The sequence below is a fragment of the Homo sapiens genome, chromosome 8 (assembly GCF_000001405.40).
Source record: "Homo sapiens chromosome 8, GRCh38.p14 Primary Assembly".
Taxonomy (NCBI): domain Eukaryota; kingdom Metazoa; phylum Chordata; class Mammalia; order Primates; family Hominidae; genus Homo; species Homo sapiens.
This window is the reverse complement of record NC_000008.11, coordinates 91289346-91312790: the sequence shown is the minus strand read 5'-3', so window position 1 is coordinate 91312790 and position 23445 is coordinate 91289346. Positions and strand designations below refer to the sequence as shown.

Here is a 23445-nt window from a genome sequence, read left to right as displayed (position 1 = left end):
GTACAAATGTCCAATAAGCACATGAAAACATGTTCAACATCACTTATCATTAAGAAAATGCAAATCAAAACTACAATGAGAGAGCACCTCACATCCGTTAGGATGACTACTATCAAACACACACACACACACACACACACACACACACAGACACACCTACATACACACACAGAAAATAAGTTTTGGCAAGCATATGTAGGAATTGCAACACTTGTGCTCTGTTGCTGGGAATGTAAAATGGTATAGCCACTACAAAAAGCAGTGTGATGTTTCCTCAAAATATTAAAAATAGAATTACCATATGGTCCAACAATTCCATTTTGGGGTATACATGCAAATAAACATTGAAAGCAAGATCTCAAAGACATATGTTTACACTGATATTTATAGCAGCATTATTCAGAGTAACTATAATGGATAACCAAGTGTCCATCAGTGGATGAATGGATAAACAAAATGTAGTATATAAATACAATAAAATATTATTGAACCTTATAAAGGAAGGAAATTCCAAAAATGTAACAACATGGATGAGCCTTGAGGACATTATGCTAAATAAAATAAGCCAGTCTCAAAATGGCAAATACTGTATGATTCCACTGACATGAAATACTTAGTCAAAATCACAGAGACATAAAGTAGAATGATGGTTTCCAAGGGCTAGAGGAAGTGAGGAACGGCAGTTATTATCTAATGAGTATAGAGTTTCAGTTTTACAAGTTGAAAAAAGTTATGGAGACATATGTGTGAAAGAAAAATAAAAATTTGGGACCTCAATACAATAAGCCAAAAGGAAAAGAAATAAGCTGAAAACTGAGTCATGCAAGAAACTGCCTTTCCTTTTGTTCCTAAGCAGATACCTACAGATGAAGGTGAAATATCTCCACAGGTAGCCACTCTATTTTTACCTTATCTTATGTAAAGTGCTGATATACTGAGAGCAAGAGGAATACATAGTTAATAATTCCCCTACCTGCTCCTATTCCCCTGCTACATGTGGATTACCACATCCTCCCTCTTCCTCCCCTAGCCTGCTTTTCCCCTTTAAATATTGAAGCCCACAGAATCCTCTGGAGAAAAGCACAGACCATAGACCATTTTTTTGTGATGCCATGTTCGTTTCCGCTGGGCATGTCCTTAACCTTGGCAAAATAAACTTCTAAATTGATTGAGAACTGTCTCAGATACTACTTGGTTTACAAATGGTGGAGGTGGTTGGTGGTTACATAACATTGTAAATGTATTTAATACTGCTGAATTATATACTTAAAAATGGCTAAGATGGTAAATTGTGTGCTTGTATATTTTTCCACATTATATATATGTATGTGTGTGTGTGAGTGTGTGTATATATATATAAATATATATCTAACTAATCATTTAGGAGGTCAGGAGTTCTCAGAATGGAATGTAGAATATGATAAAGAATCTAATTGACAATGATTGTGCTCTTTACTGTCTCTATAGACTTTATAAGTTCTGCCTTTTACAGAAGGTTATTTAAATGGAATCATATAATATGTAGTCTTTTCAGACAGGCTAAATGGATGCAACAACCTCACTGAAGTGGGTGGCAAAAGAATGTGCTAACATAAATAATTTTGAAAATGACTAGAGTCTGGAAGACTAAAGGCAAAAAGAAACACTAGACTCTAACTGCTGAAGTTGTTTCCCATGGGGGTAGGGGTTAATAATTCTGAAACCACTGTTGCAACAAATCCATATGGGTATAGCTCTGCAGCAACCTCAACTCTTGCCTCCTCGGAAGAAAGAATTCAACTGAGGGACATAAGGCAGAAGGAGAGACTGAGACAAGTTTTACAGCAGGATTGAAAGTTTATTAGAAAGCTTTAGAGCAGGAATGGAAAAAAAAAAGTAAAGTGCACTTAGAAGGGGCCAAGCAGGCAGCTTGAGAGACCAAGTGCACTGTTTGACCTTTGACTTGGGGTTTTATATGTCGGCATGCTTCCGGGTCTTGTGTTCCCTCTCCTGTGATTCTTCCCTTGGAGTGGGCTGTCTGCATGCACACTGGCCTGCTAGCACTTGGGAGGGGAGCATGTGCGGTGTGTTTACTGGAGTCATATGCATGCTCACTTGAGGCATTCCTCCCTTCCCAGTTGAATTTTCCTGGAAGGTCATATACCAGTTAAACTCTGCCATTTTGCCCCTTAATACGCGTTCTTGAGCCCACTCGCTTAACTCTTGAGATCTTATTGGGAAGCTGTCCTCACCCCCTTATTTCGTTTTAACATTCTTCTAAATCTAGTAACCTGATTTGTCTCCTCTTGCTTTCAGGCCATCAAGCTCCAGATCCTCAGTGAGGGATACCATCCTGCCAAATCACCCTTCTACAGGGGACCCATAAACTGCCCATCAGTGGGACACAACAGAGGAAAAGTCCTGTCCCTGTCCCCCTTGGACTTGGCAGGATACCACTTTTACCAACCAATGGAGCCAACCCTGCCTTGACAGCTAGCTAAAGGCCAAGACCCACAGAACCACCGGACTTTTCTCCATTTTCTCCAAAAAAATTGGGGTCTTTGACGCCTGTTGGCGGAAATGTTATAGTAGGTAGCTAGTCAGACATGAGCAGGGCAGTAGAGGGCCCTCCTCCACCCCAACCTAGAATGTCAGGCGACCATCAAGTGATGGTCAGGCAGTTATTAAACTGTTTCTCTAAAATAATAATTGGTCCCAGCCAGAACCAGGGAAAGGAAGTCTCCCAACAGATAGAAGCACCTGACACTGGTGATCAGCAGCTTCTCGCTAATATCTTAAGAGTTGAGCAAGTGGGCCCAACCATGCATATTCAGAGGCAAAATGGCAGAGTTTAACTGGCTTATGACCTCCCAGGGACATTCGAGTGGGTAGGGAAAAACACCTCGAGTTAGCATGCATATGACTCCAGTAAACACACTATACATGCTCCCCTCCTAACCAAGTGCTAGCAAGCCACCGTACATGCAGACAGCCCACCTCAAGGGAAAAATCAGGGGAGAGGGAACGCAAGACTCCAGAAGTATGCCAGCATATAAAACCCCAAGTCAAAAGGTCAAATAGTGCACTTGGTCTCTCAGTTGGCCCTCTTGACCCCCTCCCAAGTGTACTTTATTTTCTTTTCGTTCATGCTCTAATACTTGCCTTGGTCTCTCCTTCTGCCTTATGCACCTTAGTTGAATTATTTCTTCTGAGAAGGCAAGAATTGAGGTTGCTGCAGACCTGTACCCACACAGATCCACTGCTGGCAAATATACTGGAATTGCAATATGTATTATATTGCAATATATTATTATATATTATATATACTGGAATTGCTAACTTAAACAAATGGATGGTGAGTGTTAGGAGCCAGGTTCTCACTGCTGGAGGGGGAGGTTTCAGACAAACAAGGCCAGAAAGCTAGAATGATCATTCTGGTAATGCATTAGGGTTGAAGACCTAAGTATATGCTCATGTTTAACTTAATATAGGCATAGATGGATATATAAATACATATAGATATGATTACATACATATAAATTATACATAATATAATTAATATACATAACGTATATTTTATTATGATCTCAAGAGTTGGGCAGTGGGCTCAAGCATGTGTATTAAGAGGCAAAATTACTGGAATTCTGCACAGATTTGCCTTATAAGATTTGCTGTATAATTAAACATAATTATATTATGTTTAACATACATAAAAATATTCCCTTGCTCTGTCAGATAAAAAGGCTTACAAGCAATAACACCCCAGTAGCAATAAGCATACCTACCATCTAAATCTTAAAGTCTAACAGCTTTCTCTAATAAAACAAACCAGAGATCCTTAGAGAAATGGCTGATTCTAGGACTGAGCAGGGCATATAAAATATGAACCTGGATTATCTTGTAGTGCCAGAAAGGAAGGAAGTGTTAAACAAGTAAATAAACAAATAAGGGTGTCAAAGACAGACACAGAGCCAACTGAAAGAACTCCCAATGTCCAAAGCCAGGACAATTTGAAGAGCAAAATAAATAAAGTAGTATTGGATTATAACCAAAGAATAGAACAAATATCCTAGAGTCCATACTAATATAAATGATTGACTAAATAAATAAATAGGGGAGAATAGGCAAATATGTTCAGAATTCCAGTAATTTATGCAGACAATATCCACTCATTAACTCCCCACTTGACATAACCTCCACTCCTTAAGTGTGGGCTATTCATAATGACTTATTTCCACAGAATACAGTATGGAAAGGGAGAAAATAGAGTAACTGACAAGTACTACCTCAGCCAGGTGATCAAGTTAACATCAACAATGATAAGTGTTGTTATAGTTTATGATGTGGTGAGACTGTCACTTGTTTAATGAGTATAGAGTTTCAGTTTTACAAGATGAAAGGGTTGCATAGACAGATGACGGTGATGGCTGCTCAGCATTATGAATGTATTCAATGCTACTGAACTACACACTGAAAAATGGTTAAGATGGTAAATTTTATGTTATGTGTATTTTATCACAATTATATGTAGACACACACACACACACACACACACACACACACACCTCTTCCTCCTAAAAACATATAACGCCAATCTAATCATGGTAAAAACATCAAACATATCCCGATTGAGGGGCATTCTGTAGACTACCTGACCAGTACTCCTCAAAAGTGTCAAGATAATTAAAAATTTAAAAAGTCTCAGCAATGTTCAGTAATAAGGAAACTGAAGAAAGACAGGACAACTAAATGTAATGTGGTATCCTGGATGGGATCCTGGAACACAAAAAAAGGACATTAGGTAATAATTAACAGCCAGGCATGGTGGCTCATGCTTATAATCCCAGTGCTTTGGAAGGCCAAGATGAAAGGATGGCTTGAGGCCAGAAGTTTGAGAACAGCCTAGGCAACATAGTGAGACCCCATTTCTACAAAAAAATTTAAAAATTGGTCTAGCATTTTATTTTATTTTATTTTAAGAAATTTATTTTTTTTATTTATTTATTTTTATTATTATACTTTAAGTTTTAGGGTACATGTGCACATTGTGCAGGTTAGTTACATATGTATACATGTGCCATGCTGGTGCGCTGCACCCACTAACTCGTCATCTAGCATTAGGTATATCTCCCAATGCTATCCCTCCCCCCTCCCCCCACCCCACAACAGTCCCCAGAGTGTGATGTTCCCCTTCCTGTGTCCATGTGATCTCATTGTTCAATTCCCACCTATGAGTGAGAATATGCGGTGTTTGGTTTTTTGTTCTTGCGATAGTTTACTGAAAATGATGATTTCCAATTTCATCCATGTCCCTACAAAGGACATGAACTCATCATTTTTTATGGCTGCATAGTATTCCATGGTGTATATGTGCCACATTTTCTTAATCCAATCTATCATTGTTGGACATTTGGGTTGGTTCCAAGTCTTTGCTATTGTGAATAATGCCACAATAAACATACGTGTGCATGTGTCTTTATAGCAGCATGATTTATAGTCCTTTGGGTATATACCCAGTAATGGGATGGCTGGGTCAAATGGTATTTCCAGTTCTAGATCCCTGAGGAATCGCCACACTGACTTCCACAATGGTTGAACTAGTTTACAGTCCCACCAACAGTGTAAAAGTGTTCCTATTTCTCCACATCCTCTCCAGCACCTGTTGTTTCCTGACTTTTTAATGATCGCCATTCTAACTGGTGTGAGATGGTATCTCATTGTGGTTTTGATTTGCATTTCTCTGATGGCCAGTGATGATGAGCATTTTTTCATGTGTTTTTTGGCTGCATAAATGTCTTCTTTTGAGAAGTGTCTGTTCATGTCCTTCGCCCACTTTTTGATGGGGTTGTTTGTTTTTTTCTTGTAAATTTGTTTGAGTTCATTGTAGATTCTGGATATTAGCCCTTTGTCAGATGAGTAGGTTGCAAAAATTTTCTCCCATTTTTAGCGTGGCAAGTCCCTGTAGTCTTAGCTGCTTGTGAGGCTGAGGTGAAAGGATAACTTGAGCCCTGGAGTTCCAGGTTACTGTGAGTTATGATTGCATCACTGTACTCCAGCCTGAGCAACAGAGTGAGACTCTGTCTCAAAAAAAAAAAAATAAGGAAATCTGGATACAACATATAGACTTTAGTTAATAACAAAATATCAATCTGGTTCATTAATTGTGACAAATATACCTTCCTAATGTAAGATGTTAGTAACAGGGGAAACTGTGTGGGTTATATGTCAACTCTGGGTACTATTTTTGTGCTTTTCTGCAAATCTAAAATCATCCTAAAGTGAAAGTTATTAAAAGTGAAAAAAAGAAAAGAAAATCCTCTCCACCTGTTCCACAGAATCTTCAGGTAAGTCTAAATTTCTCACCAAAGTGTGTGCTATTCATGAAGAGTTCCCGAATCCTGCATACATCAGCACAGGGAAAAAGAAGGACTCTAAGAAAAGCACCAAACAGCTGGGTTTTAGAAGTATGGCATGTGTGCAAATAACCACACCAAGACAAAAATATAAACCACGCATACAAAAGAGAGAAATAGAACATGTGCCACTGGATTTCAGAGGGAAAAGGGAGTATTGCTGGATAGGGTTAAAATTGTTAACTTGACACTTAAGGAGGAAAACCATTAGAAAGCATTCAAAAAGGAGGGAAGAGTATGAGGATCAAACAGGACAGCATGGATATGTTCACAGCAAGTCTGGAAGTAACAAAACTAGCCAAAAGTGAGTAACAGAAAATAAAGCAAGACATTTTGAGGTCAGAATATAGTCCACTGTAAAAGTAGTGAAAAGGGAGTTTTACAGGAGTGAGTGACATCACTTTTCCATACATTCATTAAACATCTGATCTTGCCAAGAACTATGGTGCACACTGGCTCAAACATGAGAGCTGTGCTTTGGTAGGATTGATCTCATGATAGAATGGCCATTTAAAGTGTTGGTATAACAGGAATAGTAAAGGAAAAAGGAAAAAGTCACCTAAACTAGACAGAGCAGGAATGGAGAGCAGAGAGATGAGCCAAGTACACATTACTCCACAGACAAACTAATCATATGTTCAGGAAATGTCTATCTAAGTTTTGTGTAATATATCAGAAATTCACTGGAATTTAGAATCATCTTTATTTGGAATTACATGGTTGAAGGCAGAACCATAATCTTTTCAGTTCTCAGACACTTCAAGAAGAAACTAGCCTCTGATGCTAGACATTATGAAAGTCAGAACTGCTAGGGATAGACAATTTGACTCCTCTGGTTTCATATTTGTCTAAGAAATATGAGCTCAATAAAACAATAGTCATACAGTCGGATGATTGGAAGCATGATATTATTAAAATACACAAGTGTAAGGAGTTGTAGAGTAGTTGTGTTTTTGTTTTTCATCAGATGTGGGAGTATTCATAAGAAAAGGTGGGAGATTTTATTGACTAGGTCTGCACACTTGAGCTAGATGGATCTAACAAAATAACCATGAGCAAATTAGAGAAGTATAAGTTTATTACTATTTGTTTATCAAGAACTGTTTTACAATTTAAACAGATACAGACACATTCCCTATCTTCCGGTGAAGGATGAAAAAAAAAACTCAATTTAATTTTGGTTATTTAACATAGTGATGCCACTAACATTTAACTGACCTTTTTCCTCTTCAATTTAATCAACTCACATTTATTAAGTACCAGCTGTTGGAATTATAGAGACAAATAGTCTCTGTTCTATAGAGACTCACAGTCTAGAAAAGGAGGGAAATGTGTAAAAAATATTTCCTGGTAGATTCAGAAGCCCTATGAGGTAGGACATGAGCAATGTCTTACAGGAACAGTAAGAGGAATCACATATAAGTATGTCCAGAGATCCAGGGAAGGCTTCTCTGAGATGATTATGTTTGAGCTGAACCTTGAAAGACACAGAGGAGTCATACAAGCAGCATGAGAAGGGGCCTGGCATGCCTAGAGAATGACAGGCACACTGTTGTGGAGCCAAGAACATTGTTCTGCCACATGACACATGCCCAGTACACATGCTGCCACTATTATTAATGAGGTAAAATGTGGGAAAGAGCTAGAACAATGCCTGGCCCTAGAAGTAGATGGATTAAGTTTCCTTGCTTCCTTTGTCAACACTAGTTTAGAAAGCTGCATAGCAGCAGTTAAGGAAGTGTATACTGGAGTCTGACTCCTACTGTGTTAATTCCTAATTACAAGATTCTAAATAAGTCACTCTATTAGTCTGTTCTCACATTGCTATAAAGAACTACCTGAGACTGGGTAATTTATAAAGAAAAGAAGTTTAGTTGACTCACAGTTCCACAGGCTGCACAGGTAGTATGGCTGAGGATGCCTCAGGAAACTGACAATCATGGCAAAAGGGCAAAGGGGAAGCAAGCATGTCTTCACATGGTGGCAGGAGAGAGATAGAAAGAAGGAGGAAGTGCCACACACTTTTAAACAATCAAATCTCATGGGAACTCACTATCACAGGAACAGCAAGGGAATAACCCACCCCCATGATCCAATCACTTCCCACCAGGTTCCTCTCCTAACACTGGGGATTATAATAATCCAACATGAGATTTGGGTGGCAACACAGAGCCAAACTATATCAGTCAGTTTATCTTCAGTATCTTTATCTGTATAATAGGGAATTATTCCTAAATAATTTTTCCTAAAATGTCAATGAGGATTGAATATATGAATACATGTAGTAAGCTTAGAACAGAGCTTGTCAAATACTAGGCTAATAAATATAATTATTTTTGTACATAAGGAAAGTTTTTTATAATTTTAAGAATGTTATAATTCTAACTTGGTTAAGTTTATTACTTCTTAGCTTTGCCAGGTACAAACACAGATGGAAAGATTTAGATTAAACAGAGTAATGACTTTCTGCTGTAATGGTTGTAAAACAGTGAAACATTATCAAAAGAGATTTCAGATTGTCCTCCTCCTGCATTACAAAAGAAGAAAGTTGATGATGTTTCTGAGAAGAGTAAGTACGATGTGTTGAATAGGCAGTATAAACTAGTTTTATATCTTGTGTCCCTTCTATACTCCTGATCCTCTTATTTAAAACTTGCAAGAAAATGTTTAGCACAACACCAAAAGTAATTGAAGAATCTCCTATTTAGCTTACAGTTGTCTTTTTATCATCCTTGAAGACATAAGACCATGTGTCTCCAGAATGCACTAGTATCATAATACAAGGCTTTGTCACTAAACACCCACACTTTTATAATTGTTGAATATATATTTATGACACAAACATATATAACTTAACTAAAAGATACTCAAACCACTACAATGGCATTATTCTAGTGAAGGCAGCCTACAGTAATGAATACACCTTTCTCAGTGCAAGAAAGATCAAAAAGACAAACTAGATTTCCCCATGGCAGAAATCTTGTCCTATGGCTTCTTCAGAAAAGTAGAGCTTGGGAAAATTTCCAGAGGTGAATGGGCAAGGGACAATCCCAGACCCCTCTTGGAAAAGCTCTTGGAAAAACAAATATGCAAATTGTCCATCACAGGGAATAATAAAAGCTACAGGGAGAAGATAACAATGGTTTTTAAAGTGCATTGGCTTTTATTATGTGTTTGTGTCCCCAGCAGAAATGCTAATTGATACTGGCATTTTAAAACTAGCATTTCATTACTGTGAGTGTGCTAGCAATTCCTTTCTTGGCTGCTACTGTTTTTACTGTTTTTAGCTAGAAAAATTGTCTTTTCCTTGTGTAAAGTAATACTAATAGTACAAAACTGCATCAATTCCACTAAAAGACTTTCTTATGAGACAACGTGCCTTAGAAATAGATGGTAGAACTGGAAACAATAAGATTATCATACCAGTCAATTCAGTCACTGCATTATCAACTGTCAGAAATTGCATGAGTCCTAATCACAAGAGTTCCTACTGTTATAAAACCATGGCAATAAATCTACAATATAAACAGCAATAAAGTTTTGCTGAGTGAAAGAAACCAGACCAAAAAAAAAAAAAAAAGAGAAGGGGAAGGGACATTACATTCATTTTTATAAAATTCTAGAAAATGCAAACTAACTCATAGTGACAAAAAGCAGATCAGTGTGTGAGGAGGGGAGCTAACGGAGTGGGATTACAATGGTCAAGAAAAAATTTTGTGAAATTACAGATATTTTTATTGTCTTGATGATGGGTTCATGAATATATACATCTGTCAAAAGATCAAATTGTACATTCTAAATATGTAAAATTTATTGCATGGCAATTATACCTCAATAATGCTGTTGTTAAAAAGCCCGTATTCTAATGTACAACACAGAAACTATCACATTACATTATTATGGTTGTATAAGTGCACTTTGTTTATACTAGCAATATAAATCAAATGGTAACAGAGAAGAGAAACAGAAATTATTTATTTTGTCTGAAGGCCAATGAGTGAGAGACATTGGATGGTCTTATGTTTATGACACAAACATATATAGCTTACCTAAAAGATAATTAAACCACTACAATTCCATTATTCTAGTTAAGGCAGCCTACAGTAATGAACACACCTTTCTCAGTCAGTGCAAAAAAAATCAAAAAGGCAAAAAAGTGAATAATCATAATCAACAAGGAAGAACCTAATAGCTATATACTGATCTTTACACTCTGATAATCAAGGCTATATATTTTTTCTCAAGTGCTCATGAAACACTCACAAAAAAATGATTATACAGTAGGTTAGAAGGAAAATGTTAGTAAATTAGGTAACATAAACTATTATAAACAATACTCCCTGACTGCAATGAAATAACACTAGAAATTATTGACAAAACTGAAAAGCAAAAAGACTCACCCACCTAAAATTAAAAACTCTTCTCTTAATCTTTGGGTAAAGGAGGAAATACAAACTGAAATCACAGAATTTTTATTCCTAAAAAATATTGAAGCAAAACACAGTATATATAAAAATCAACAGAATACATTTCAAACAATTAGCATAGGAAAATTCATAGCACTATGTGCTTTTATCAATAAAAATGAAAAAAAAATAACAAGTAAATTGAATTCCTAGATGGAAAAAATAGAAGAAGAGCAACAACCAAACAATAAAATAATGGTAAATTGAAGGAAATAATAAAGATAAAAGCAGAGATAGAAATAGGAAAAAAGTAGACATACTATTTCAAAATCCTGGTTTTCTTAAAAAAGTAACAAAATAGAAAAACCACTAGCTGCCTGGATCAAGAACAAAGGAAAAAGCACAAATATAAAAATAGAAAATATCAAAGGGTAAAACATTGAAACAATAAATTTTTTTAAAATTACAACAGACTACTTTAAAGACCTACATGTAAATACATTTGAAAAGATAGATAAAAATATAATTTTCCAAGAAAATAAAGATTTCCAATTCTGGTTGTTTTAGAGCTAGGCTGCTTAAACTGACCAATTTTTGTAAAAGAAACTGCAGAGGATCATCAAGAAATTATCTTACAAAAGAGCACCAGGCAACATTATTTTAAAGAGGAATTCTACAAAACCTCCAGTACTAGATGCTCCAGAAGTGCTATACATGCTGAAAAGCATTGAGAAGGGACGTTAAGAAGAAAGTAAAACATTGAGACTTAGACCTGATAAAGACAGCACAAGAAAGAAAACTACAGTCCAGTACCACTAAAGAAAAATGATGCAAAATACTAAAGAAGAAAATTAATCAACAGAATCCAGTACCACATTAAGAATAAAATAGACCGTGACCAACTGGAATTTATTCTTGCAATTTAAAGTTGGTTCAATATTAGGGAATCTATTAACATAATAAATGATAGTTTTGAGAGAATAAAAGTAAGATTATTTCTATAGATGCTGAAGAGGCTTCAGCAATATTCAACATTTTTTCTAGTTTCTATTAAAAACACAAAATAGGACACAATTTATAATTTCTTAACATGACAAGACATATAAACTTTATTCATGAGGACTGCATTATAATTTGTGGAGATGTTAATAGCATTATAAGTAAGCTCATGAAAGGGCAAGAATGCCCACTGTTTTCACAATTACCTAATGTTATAATAGAGGTTGCAAAACCCAAAGCAATTGGATTAGAGAAATCACCAGTCATATGATTTTGTAAAGAAGTAAAAACATCTCTGGCCGGGCGCGGTGGCTCACGCCTGTAATCCCAGCACTTTGGGAGGCCGAGGCGGGCGGATCACGAGGTCAGGAGATCGAGACCATCCCGGCTATAACGGTGAAACCCCGTCTCTACTAAAAATACAAAAAATTAGCCGGGCGTAGTGGCGGGCGCCTGTAGTCCCAGCTACTTGGGAGGCTGAGGCAGGAGAATGGCGTGAACCCGGGAGGCGGAGCTTGCAGTGAGCCGAGATCGCGCCCCTGCACTCCAGCCTGGGTGACAGAGCAAGACTCCGTCTCAAAAAAAAAAAAAAATTCTAGCAAATTAATGAACAATAAAACTAATTCAAATACTAAAAGAATTCAGTAAGATATCAGGATTCAAAATTAACACGCAAAAATCAATAGCTTTCAAAGACACAAACAATAGCCAGCCAGAGGACATAATGGTAAAGAAAACTCCACTTATAATAGCAACAAAGAAGATTAAATCCTTGGGAATAAACTTGACAAAAATGTGCAAAACCTGTAGGAGGAAAATTTTAAAACACTCTGAAAAACACAAAATTAGATTTGAACAAAATGAAAGGCATCCTCTGTTCTTGGACAGGACAAATCAACATCATAAAGATGTCAGTTTAACACAATCCCAATAAAAGTATCAGCAAGTTTCTTTTTATACAAGGAAGTTTCTCCCCCTGAAGTGTAGCTTGTATTTGTCTAATGTTCCCCACACACAACTCTTTCTCCACTTCTTTACTTGACTTATATTTTTTAACATTATTTTAATGATTCTAGTATGTCTATCTCTTTAATTTTAACTTACGCACTTTTTAGAAGAAAGCATAGCATAGAACAATAAATTTCTGATTTTAGTTTGCTCTTTGCCTTTTTTTGCTTTTCCTCCAATGCAAGTTGGTGCTGAAATTCATAAGGAAAACAAACATGCAAGAATAGCCAAGAATACACACAAAAATTAAAAATACAAAGCTTGACTAGTCCTACCCTACATTAAACCATTCTATAAAGTCTCCATAAAACAGGGTGCTACAGTCACAAGAATAGAGTTAAAGGGCAGTAGAATAGCAAAGAAAGTCCCAAAATTGATATAAGTACATATGGAAATGATAATGGTGGCATCTTAAGTTATAGAGGTAAAGATGGGCTTTTTAATAAATGTTGTTGGCACAAGTAGGCAGCAACTTAGAAAAAAATAAAATTACATCCATATCACACACCACTCACAAGCATAAACTCCACAATTATCAGGAATGTATATATAAAAAGAAAAAAAATAAATCATGGAAGTCTAGAAAAAAAATATGGTGACTTCCTCCATAAACTCAGTGTTGAAAAAAGCTAACAATGACTCAAAATAATGGGCAGTAAAAGAAACGACTGATAAATTTGACAACACAATTTTTTAAATTTGCATAGTAAAATAAAGTCAAAGTACAACTGCCAAATTAGAAGGAAATACTTTCAACATCTATCACAGAAAAAGGGCTAATATCCATAATATATAAAGAACTCTTAAAATTTGAAGAGAAAAAAATCTAAAACTCTGATGGAAAAATGAGACAAATATAAATAGACAATTCACAAAATTAGCACAAAATGATCTTAAACATATGAAAAGATGTTGAACCTCACTCATAATTAAAGAAACTCAAATTACCTTGAATACTACTTTTCACCTGCTTGGCTAAAGTTCAAAAGGCTGAGAACACATTCTGTTGGTAAGGCTGAGGCACTCTCATACACTGCTATGGGAATGTAAACTGACACAACCCCTTCGGAAGGGAATTTAACAATGTCTAACATAACTACATTTGTTTTTGTTTTGAATTTACCTTTTGACCCAGTAATCTCATTCTAGGAATTCATCTTGAAGAGATGTTCCTAACAAAATGAAAATCCAGATATACACATACATAGCAGCATTAGGGAAGGGAAGTGACAGTTCTGAGTGTGCCTTTCTTTTACAGTCCCATCTTGCTATAATAATTATTAAAATTAACAAACATCAGACTCAGTTTATATTTTAAAATCATTATTACCTAGCATTATGTTTCTTGGTTTTCAAGTTCCTGAATAGATAATTCATTTTTTAATTCAACAAGTTTTCTGAGAATCTACCATGTAGAGTTCTATGCTAGGTACAATGATGACTTTAACATGCTTGAAGATCGTATTAATACCCTCAAGAACTTTGTTCTCTAAGTAATGTCTTACATAGAAAACAAACTAAAATATTATAGACATACAAGACATTGGAGGAAAAGCAAAAAAAGGCAAAGAGCAAACTAAAATCAGAAATTTATTGTTCTATGCTATACTTTCTTCTAAAAAATGCATAAGTTAAAATTGAAGAGATAGACATACTAGAATCATTAAAATAATGTTAAAAATATAAGTCAAGTAAAGAAGTGGAGAAAGAGTTGTGTGTAGGGAACATTTAGACAAATACAAGCTACACTTTAGTGGGGGAAACTTACTTATCAGTTACAAGAAGAGAAGGCAAAAAGAAAACACACCTAATAAGTCATGGAGCCCTTATTATGTAATAACAGAAAGCTGATTAGTTCATCAATTGAATGTGTTGCCAGACACCAAAGCCCCCCCAGAACTTACTTCTATAACTTCCTGTAATACAAGAAGCAATAAATATCTTTATGGTGTAAGCCTCCGATAGGAGGGTTCTCTGTTCCTTGCAGGTGAGAGCATTTCTAACTGTGAATCAGATCAGACATGATTGTTTCAGACACTTTAACAATACAATCTTATTAACCTAAATAATTCTGTCAGCTGGATCTTCAGAGAGAAAAAAATCAACCTGAAACTAAATAATATGCAAGCAAGAGCAAAACAATACACAAATAAATAAATAAAACAAGACAAACACACACTTCATATGTTTGTAGAAACTGGATACTTTGATTCAGTGGGTTTCAAATCTGAAGGAATAAAAGGAAAAATGACTGAGCAGCTAAATCCTAAAGATGCAGAACTCTTGAAGTTTCTAGTTGACAATGGAAAGAAGAGTTTGGAGGTCAAATAAAGTCCAGCCATCTGCTTAAAAATTGGCTAAAACGTAAGTCACATATCCAAGATCAGAGCTAAAGAGGAAGAAAAGCAGATGCTTGATGAAGTTATAAGAGAAAATATGCAACTCTCTGAATCAGATTTTACATGTAATAAAAGGCCATGAAAACAAAATTATTTTTATTATCTTTAATAATATTCTGCTTTGCTCTTATAATTCTAGGGAGTTTCATTCGGGGAAATGAGACATATATTTTTTATGTTGTTAGAATCCTGGCTTTGACTTTTATATGTTATCATTTTAAGTCATAATCCAAATATACTAGATAATAACAGAATACCTGATGATTGTTTCAAACTTTCAGAAGATGGTTAAAATGAGACTAAGCAGAAGGTTGCCAGGTCTTACCGCTAATTATGTATACTCTTAGATTTTTACTATACTAATATATACCTAAAACTAATACTACACTATTAAACAACCTAAAACTACTTGTTTCATGCTTTGTAGAGTAAGAGAATATCCAACTCTAGTAAAAACCATGAATTCAAAAAGAAATATGAATGAAAAAATAATGGGACAGAAAACAGACACAATATTATCTTTGCAATGTTAATACAAAGATTTTTTATTTTAAATGAATAGAAATTAAGGAAAACCTATGCCAAATCCAAGGCAATATATCCATGTTTGATCTACCAGTTCACAGGGCTGATTATTTCTGAGATGGGGATAGATGACAGATCTCAGAGAGCCTCATACAGGCCAGGCAAGGAGGAAAAGCCACTAAGCCTGTCTGTGCAAGCCTCAGAATAGGCTGACATCCATGGTTGGAAAAATAAACTGAAAGTTACAGGGTACCCAGGCAACTAATTTTTATTTTATGATAGCTCAGATACAAGCCATAGAAAATACTGATTGGTCCACCAGTCTGGTCAGTCTCCTAAGCAAATGAGCTGCCACTCAAATGGTCTATTTCTTTCAAGGACTATGAAGACATGAGTTCTTATTCTCATTTCATTTTACATCCTTAATTCTTTCGGCCGTTTCACCTAGCTAGAAGGCAATGTAACTCTAAGAATTTTAATGCTTCCTTTCTTTTAGGTCACATGTTTTCTCTTACCATCATTCCAGCCAATCATCAACTATTTTTCGCCCTTCTTGGTGTTTACAAGATCTTTGACCTTGTAAATAATGTTACGGTGTAAAATAGAGCCTCCCAACCCAAAACACAGCCACCCAAGAAGTTTATGCACACATAATTCAGTTGACCATGAGAGACTAAGCAAAAATGGCTATCAAACAGGCAATTCCATGTCTAATATTCAGTGCCTGTCTACATTTATTTTATAGTCACCTCTGAGCTTTCAAATTTTGACGACTGATTAGAAACATCAAATTACATATTCTGATATTTTGAAGAAATAGACTGTAGCAATCTTGGCAGCAACATGATGCTGGTGGTACAGATCTGAGTCCAGTGACCTCAGATCAGCAAACCTATAGCATAAACCAAGCACCATTTGTTACTGATGTAAGCAATAACATCATAAAATCTGAAAACTGGGAAGGACACTAGAGATCTGGTCACATCTCCTTCCTATTGCAGGAGTTTTTCCTATAACATTCCCTTACAGTGACGACCTAGTCACTGTGTGGACACAGGGATTGCCTCATTGCCTTACAAGGAAGCTCATTCCATTTTCTGAAACATTTTTTAGAAAGTTCATTCTTAAAAGACCAAAAACTGTTTCTGTGTAACTTCAATTTATTGATTCTAGTTCATTCATTCAACCAGCATTTATAGAGTAATGACTCTAAACAGCATTTCCATAATGATAAAACACATCAGGCCTTTATCCACCTATAAAGACAAATTCATGAACAAGAATAAAAATAAAACACCAGCTGCCTTCCCTGTGCCGCTGTGTCCCTTTCTTTGTGCTCAAGTGTCAGTATCACTTACCTGAATCACACCTCCCAAGAAGGAAACTGCTGCAGCAACGTGGATCCTTTGCATTTCAAAGTCGGATAAGCCCAGCACGCTTGTGTTACTCTGTGTGGTGAGATTCTGCATGTTCTGAGGGACAATCCGTTCCACGGCGTTGGCTGATATTAAGGATGTCAAGGCAAAGGTGCCTGAAACCAAGTGGTGTGGGGAATCTTCTATTAGTAATTTGATTTAAAGGCTCAATAAAAATTGTGGGATTCTGTCGAAGCTACATTGTGAAACCAAACAGATCTATTAGAAACACTGTCCCCTCCTCTGTGGCCTTGCTTCTCCACTCTTCACCTCTCTCCATGGATGAAATGGAAACTTACCTCCATATATGCTTATTCATTCAACGTACAGCCACTCATCTATTTGCTATTCCCTCCTGGTTCAGACATTTTCCCACCTCTCTGCAGATTGGCATAAAGAATGTCCTGGTACAGGAAATAAGATTACGGCCTGGATTTAAATTCAACCACTCAATTTACCAATAATGTGACCTAAAGCACATTACACTGGATATAAATGGTCTTATCCATAAAATGGGAGTAATAATGCCTACATTTCAGTATTTAAGGGGAGTATAAATGAGATGATAGGTATGAAGACCTCAGTAAATTCAGCTTTTTCCCTGAAATGCTTGCTTCTTCATTCTACCTGTGCAAATCCTATTTGTTTTTCAAGGTCTGGCTCAAATCCCATATCTAATAAGGGTCCATCCCAGATCCTCCCAACTAGGCTTAATCTTTCCACCCTCTGTGGTCTCATAGCAGAGTATATTTTTATTATTGTATAACAACATATTGTGGCCCATAAAATAATTAAACATACCATTTCTGTCTACTGTTGTTAGATAAGGCTTGGTGTTATTTTCCAAGAATTGCCATGGCCTTGCACATTTGTGGGACCATTTTCAGTGTGTTCCCCTCTTCCTGTCAAGAGTTCTGAAGCCTCTCATCTTGGCACAGCATGCCTGAGAATGCAGCCTGGTGAACATGGAAATGCTGATTCTCTCAAAGAGGCGTTGGCAAATTTGGGTTATAGAAACAAACTGCAGCATTGTGCAAACATTTGCTCTCATTACTTGAAGATCTTACTTTGCTTCTGGTCATAAGTGAGATTTCATGAAAAGGGCCTTTTCAACATGTAGACAACCCAACACAAACCATGCACAAAGCAGCATAAGGCAAGAGAGACATGAGTCAAACAGAAACAGGTCTCAATGGAAATTCAACACAGCCAATACTTGGTCTTACTAGATAAGAGAGGCAGTACATGCTATGGATTCAGAAAAACATGATGATTGTAGCCTCCAAAAAACCTGGCCTAAAATCCCAGAACTGTCACCTCAATGTTTTTGTCTATAAACAGCATTCCTCACCCAATGGGATTGTTATGAGGCTTAAATAATGTAATATAGCACATATCATAGAAGATGACATGTAGTTAACACCTGATAAATGGTAGCTATTCATATAATTTTTAATAAGACTAAAGTCAGAATGCTCTGTTATGGTCTATCATTGTATGTTTTTCTCTGTTCCATAGAGTTGGTGGTACATAAATACAGACAGCAGATTGAATAACATTCTTTTAGTGAGATAAGTCATTCTCAATAAATCATCAATAAATCATGACCACTGTCCTTATCACAAAATACTAAATTAAGAGTACATCAAGAAACTAATGTAATATAACTGATTATTAGAAATGAGATTCTAGCACCCAGGATGGGAAACACCAAGTAGAGAATATTCACCATAGAATCTGGTCTTGATAGGACATATTTCCGAGGTTATATTACAACACGATGCTCGGGAGATCAAATCAGATACTTCTGAGAGTAAAGAGGTTTGTCTTTTGGTGTCTAAATCTCCTAGAGCACAGAGCAAAATGTTTTGTACAAAAGCCACTGAACAAATTGACTACAGAATTTTTTAAAAACATATAGATGAGTTAATTTTTTAATTTAGGCCTGTTTTTCCTGGGATTTGGAGGAAGATGGGAAGGAATCGAACAGTAAAAGAGAAAGCCATCTAAAAGGCTTTGTTAGGGGAACAAAAGGAAGCTTCACCTGCGTGTGAGTCATATTTCAAGAACACCTCCAGAGAGAGGACTTGCCAGCAATGGGTACAGGCATATCCACCACGCCAATGTGGACATGGGAGTACTGCTTCTTTAGCAAGGATAATGCTTTGCTGTTTCTGAGATAATGAAGGCCAATCAAGGGAAGTGGGACTGCCAGTGAATATGTGTGGCTGTTGTGGATGACATTCTATATTATCTATTTATAGGTCTCTTCTTTGTCTTTGTCTCCTCTCTACTAATTCTCTATCTTTGCCTCATTTGCTCAACATTTTACCCTGGTTAGGCTTTCAGCCTATTAGTGGTACCCTTATATACCACTACTTCTACCTGATAGCTCAACAGTACTGTGGGTCACAGGGTCTCATAGGAAGTGAATATGAGCCCTAGAGTTAAACAGACCCAAGTTCGAATCCCAGCTCTACTTAATATGAACCTCTGATCTTGGTCAAGTTACCTAACCTCTCTCAGCTTCCTTATTTGTAAAATGATGATAAAATACCTATTACAAAATTTTGATAGAGAATAAATGAGATTTCATATTTTAAAAAAACACTGTCTCAAGTCCTATCATATTATAATCCATCAGTAAATAATTGTTTATTTTTGCTTCTGAAAAGTGCCTTATATAGTCTCCACAATATCCTCTCTAAATTGTTAAACTTTGCTCTTTAAATAAATTTCCCTAATTTAGAGAAAAATTAAGATTATCCAATTGTCTCACATTGGTTCCTACAACAATGCTGTTGCCATTGGATTAATACCCAGGTTTTTTACTGTTGTGTATTTATTCCAATATATGTTCTTTGCAAGCCACAAAAAGTAATCAACTGATTTATTCCTTTTTTTAAAAAAAAAACCTATTTTAAATTAAAATAAGAAAGTTCACATTGTTGAGCAAAACAGCATGTTTCATGTCTTTATACTCTGATTTTATGAATTGTTTACTTTTAAAGATGCCTCTAACATAATTTATTATTGTATTTAGTAAGTCAGCATTGCATTCCAGCCATCTAAATTGAAGGCAAAATCCCAAATAAAGTAATTTTTCTTCATGAAAGTAACATCAATATCTTAATAATACTGTGGAAGTGGGATGCATATGCATCAAAATTAAATTATTTTAAAGAGAAGTAAGTTCTGTATATTAATTTGCAGGAACTTATTGGTGACACTCAGTCCCTATGTCCAAGATTAAAGGAAGGTCAAAACATAATTAGTCTATTTTCCCTGACATATATATGTTGCAAAATAAGGGAAAATTATCTTCTTTTTTTTTTTTTTTTGAGACAGAGTCTCGCACTCTCGCCCAGGCTGGAGTGCAGTGGCGCCATCTCGGCTCACTGCAAGCTCTGCCTCCCGGGTTCACACCATTCTCCCCGCCTCAGCCTCCTGAGTAGCTGGGACTACAGGTGCCCGCCACCACGTCCAGCTAATTTTTTGTATTTTTAGTACAGACAGGGTTTCACCGTGTTAGCCAGGATGATCTTGATCTCCTGACCTTGTGATCTGCCTGCTTCGGCCTCCCAAAGGGCTGGGACTACAGGTGTGAGCCACCGCACCCAGCCTATCATTTATTTTTTAATGACCCAAAGAATCCTAAATACTGGGATAAAAAACTAATAGGAAAGCCCAGCTGACTGTCTTTGGTGAAGTACAAATGCAGAAATAAAATGTCTCTAGCATTTATTGTGTGGTAGCTCATTCGACTTAACAGAAGGGAAATCAGAATTAGTCTCCGGCTTTAATGTTGAATGACTACAGTTAAGGCTGTAAATTATGTGTATTTTGAAATGCATATTATTTATCAAGTAGACTATAAGATTCTGACAGCTGTTAAAAATTTGTTAAATATAGAGTCTTATGTAAATGGTAATTTCAAAGTAATTCAGTTAAATATCTGTAAAATGTTTACAGTGATTCCTTAGGACATCAAATATTTTGTGTAAGTACGTATTTAAGTATGTTCAAATTGTGTATTTTTGTTTTCTTAAAGCAATTATGGTATATTGGACAAACTTGTTTTGCCTTTTTCTTTTATCTTGGGTTTAACAGAGAAAATGTTTTTAGAGGTTAGTATTAAAACAACTTTTTTATTGCTAAGGATATGTTTAAATGTTTTGAAAAATGAAAAGAAATCGTTAGGAAATTAGGAAGCAAGATAATTGAAAAAATAGGCTTTAATAATTTATAATTAATTATTGTGCTTTTCTCTTTTTTGCATCAATACAAAAGAAAAGCTTATTCTTGAACAGTGAGTTGTAAAGTTAAAAGCTTGTGCTTTAGATTTGGTCGCACCTGGGTTGCAATCCATGCACCTGTGACTTTTAATCTGTGATCTCACAGAAACTTTCTGAATTTTAGTGTTTTCTTTTCACGTGCAATGTAAAGGTAATAATATCTATTTAAAAGGCTTATGCTAGAACAAAATAAAATAACATATGTAAAGCTCTTAATAAATTACCTAATAAATAGAACATCCATGGTTCTCAAACTTAAATATATATACGTACACAAATATGCATAAACATATAAACACATATATATACTATATTACCTACAGATTAAATAAAAACAGAGATCTTATGAAAGTGCTGACTCTAATTCAGTAGGCCTGAGATGGAAATAAAGGCTTTGCACTTTTAACAAGCTCCTACATAATGCTGAACCTGCTGGTTCATGAGCCACACTTTAGGCAGAAATGTTGTAAGTGATTGATAAGTGTTGTTCCTTCCCTCATAACAAAATTAATTGATTTAAAAAGCCAAATCTACATAAATAAAATGTTATGTTAACAGAAAATATGTGTATCAATGTAGTAGGCAGAATTATGACCTCTCAAATATGTTCCCATCCTAATCCCCAGAACCTGTGAGTATGTTATGCTATATGGTAAGAGAGAATTAACATTGCAGATGAAATTAAAGTTGCCAAGCAGCTGATCTTAAAATAAGAAGAGCAGCCTGGATTATCCAGGTGTGCCCAATGTAATCACAAGTGTCCTTTAAACATGGAAAATGGAGGCAAAAGATCAGAGTCAAAGAGAATTTGAAGATGCGATACTGCATGTTTACATATCGCATGGTTGAAAGGTCCATGAGCCAAAGAATGCAGGAAGCCTCTAGAAACTAGAAAAGTCAAGAAAATGGATTGCCCCTAGAGCCCCCAAGAAAGAAACACAGCCCTGCTGACACCTTAGTTTTAGTCCTGTGAATATCATTTCAGACTTCTGAGCTGCAGAACTGTAGAATAATACCTTTATCTTGTTCTAAGCACCAAACTTATGGTAATTTGTTACAGCAGCAACAGAAAACTGATACAATCAATAACACAAAATGACCATTGAAGAAATGGTCAAGAAATATTATTACTTAGAGGCTGAGATCATGTAATCCCCAAATAAATAGAAATGTCTCTATAGATATTTTTAGTTAAAATTATTTTATTATTTCCTTAATAGTTAAGACTAAGATACCATTTTTGTAATAATAATAATAGCTAACTTTATTAAATCTTATTATGTAGCAAGTATTAAATTAGGCACTGTATATCAATTATCTAGTTCTCACTATAATCATTAGAATTTGGAAGGTAATTTTGCTATCAAGAAAGCAGCAATGGAGCTTAAAATTTTGCCTAAGACCATGTAAATAGCAAACAACAAATAAGATATGCACCCAGGTTTATCTAATACCAAATCACCCCTCATATTTTCTTTGGTAATATAGAGGTAGGTAAGGTAAGAGTTACACCAAGTAAAGAGCATTGTATAAACTAGCCTGGAATAAACCTAAAGATCATCATTTAGTCCACATATCAAATACATGTAAAATATTTTTCACTGTTTTTTGAGTAGCTATATTTTATGTAGTCTTACCTCCCAAGTACTTACTTTCTCTCATTTCATTGTAAATTCAGAACATTTCCCTTCCTTTTTTTTTTTTCTTGAGACAGAGTCTCGCTCTGTCACTCAGGCTGCAGCGCAGTGGCGCAATTTCAGCTCACTGCAACCTCCACCTCCCAGGTTCAAGCGATTCTCCTGCCTCAGCCTCCCGAGTAGCTGGGACTACAGGCGTGTACTACCACGCCCCATCTCCCTTCTTTTGTGGAATCTTTGCAACTCAAAAATGCAAAGAATCCTTAGCAATTACCTTGGCTACACAGTAATATAGCAATAAACCACAGTGTATATTGACTATCTGATGCATGGAGAGTAAATATCTTCCTCTAATATTTGCTGTGGTTT

The 23445-nt window shown here is 35.8% G+C and overlaps 1 protein-coding gene across 4 annotated transcripts in view; it reads right to left on the bottom strand.

The window, feature by feature from the left end:
- Positions 1-23445, bottom strand: part of SLC26A7 (solute carrier family 26 member 7) — a 188660-nt gene that overhangs the window by 85365 nt on the left and 79850 nt on the right. For all 4 annotated transcript variants that reach the window (NM_001282356.2, NM_001282357.2, NM_052832.4 and 1 more), the window contains one exon: positions 17088-17260. In NM_001282356.2, the coding sequence (NP_001269285.1) occupies positions 17088-17260 (173 nt within the window). The remainder of the gene's footprint in view (positions 1-17087; positions 17261-23445) is intronic.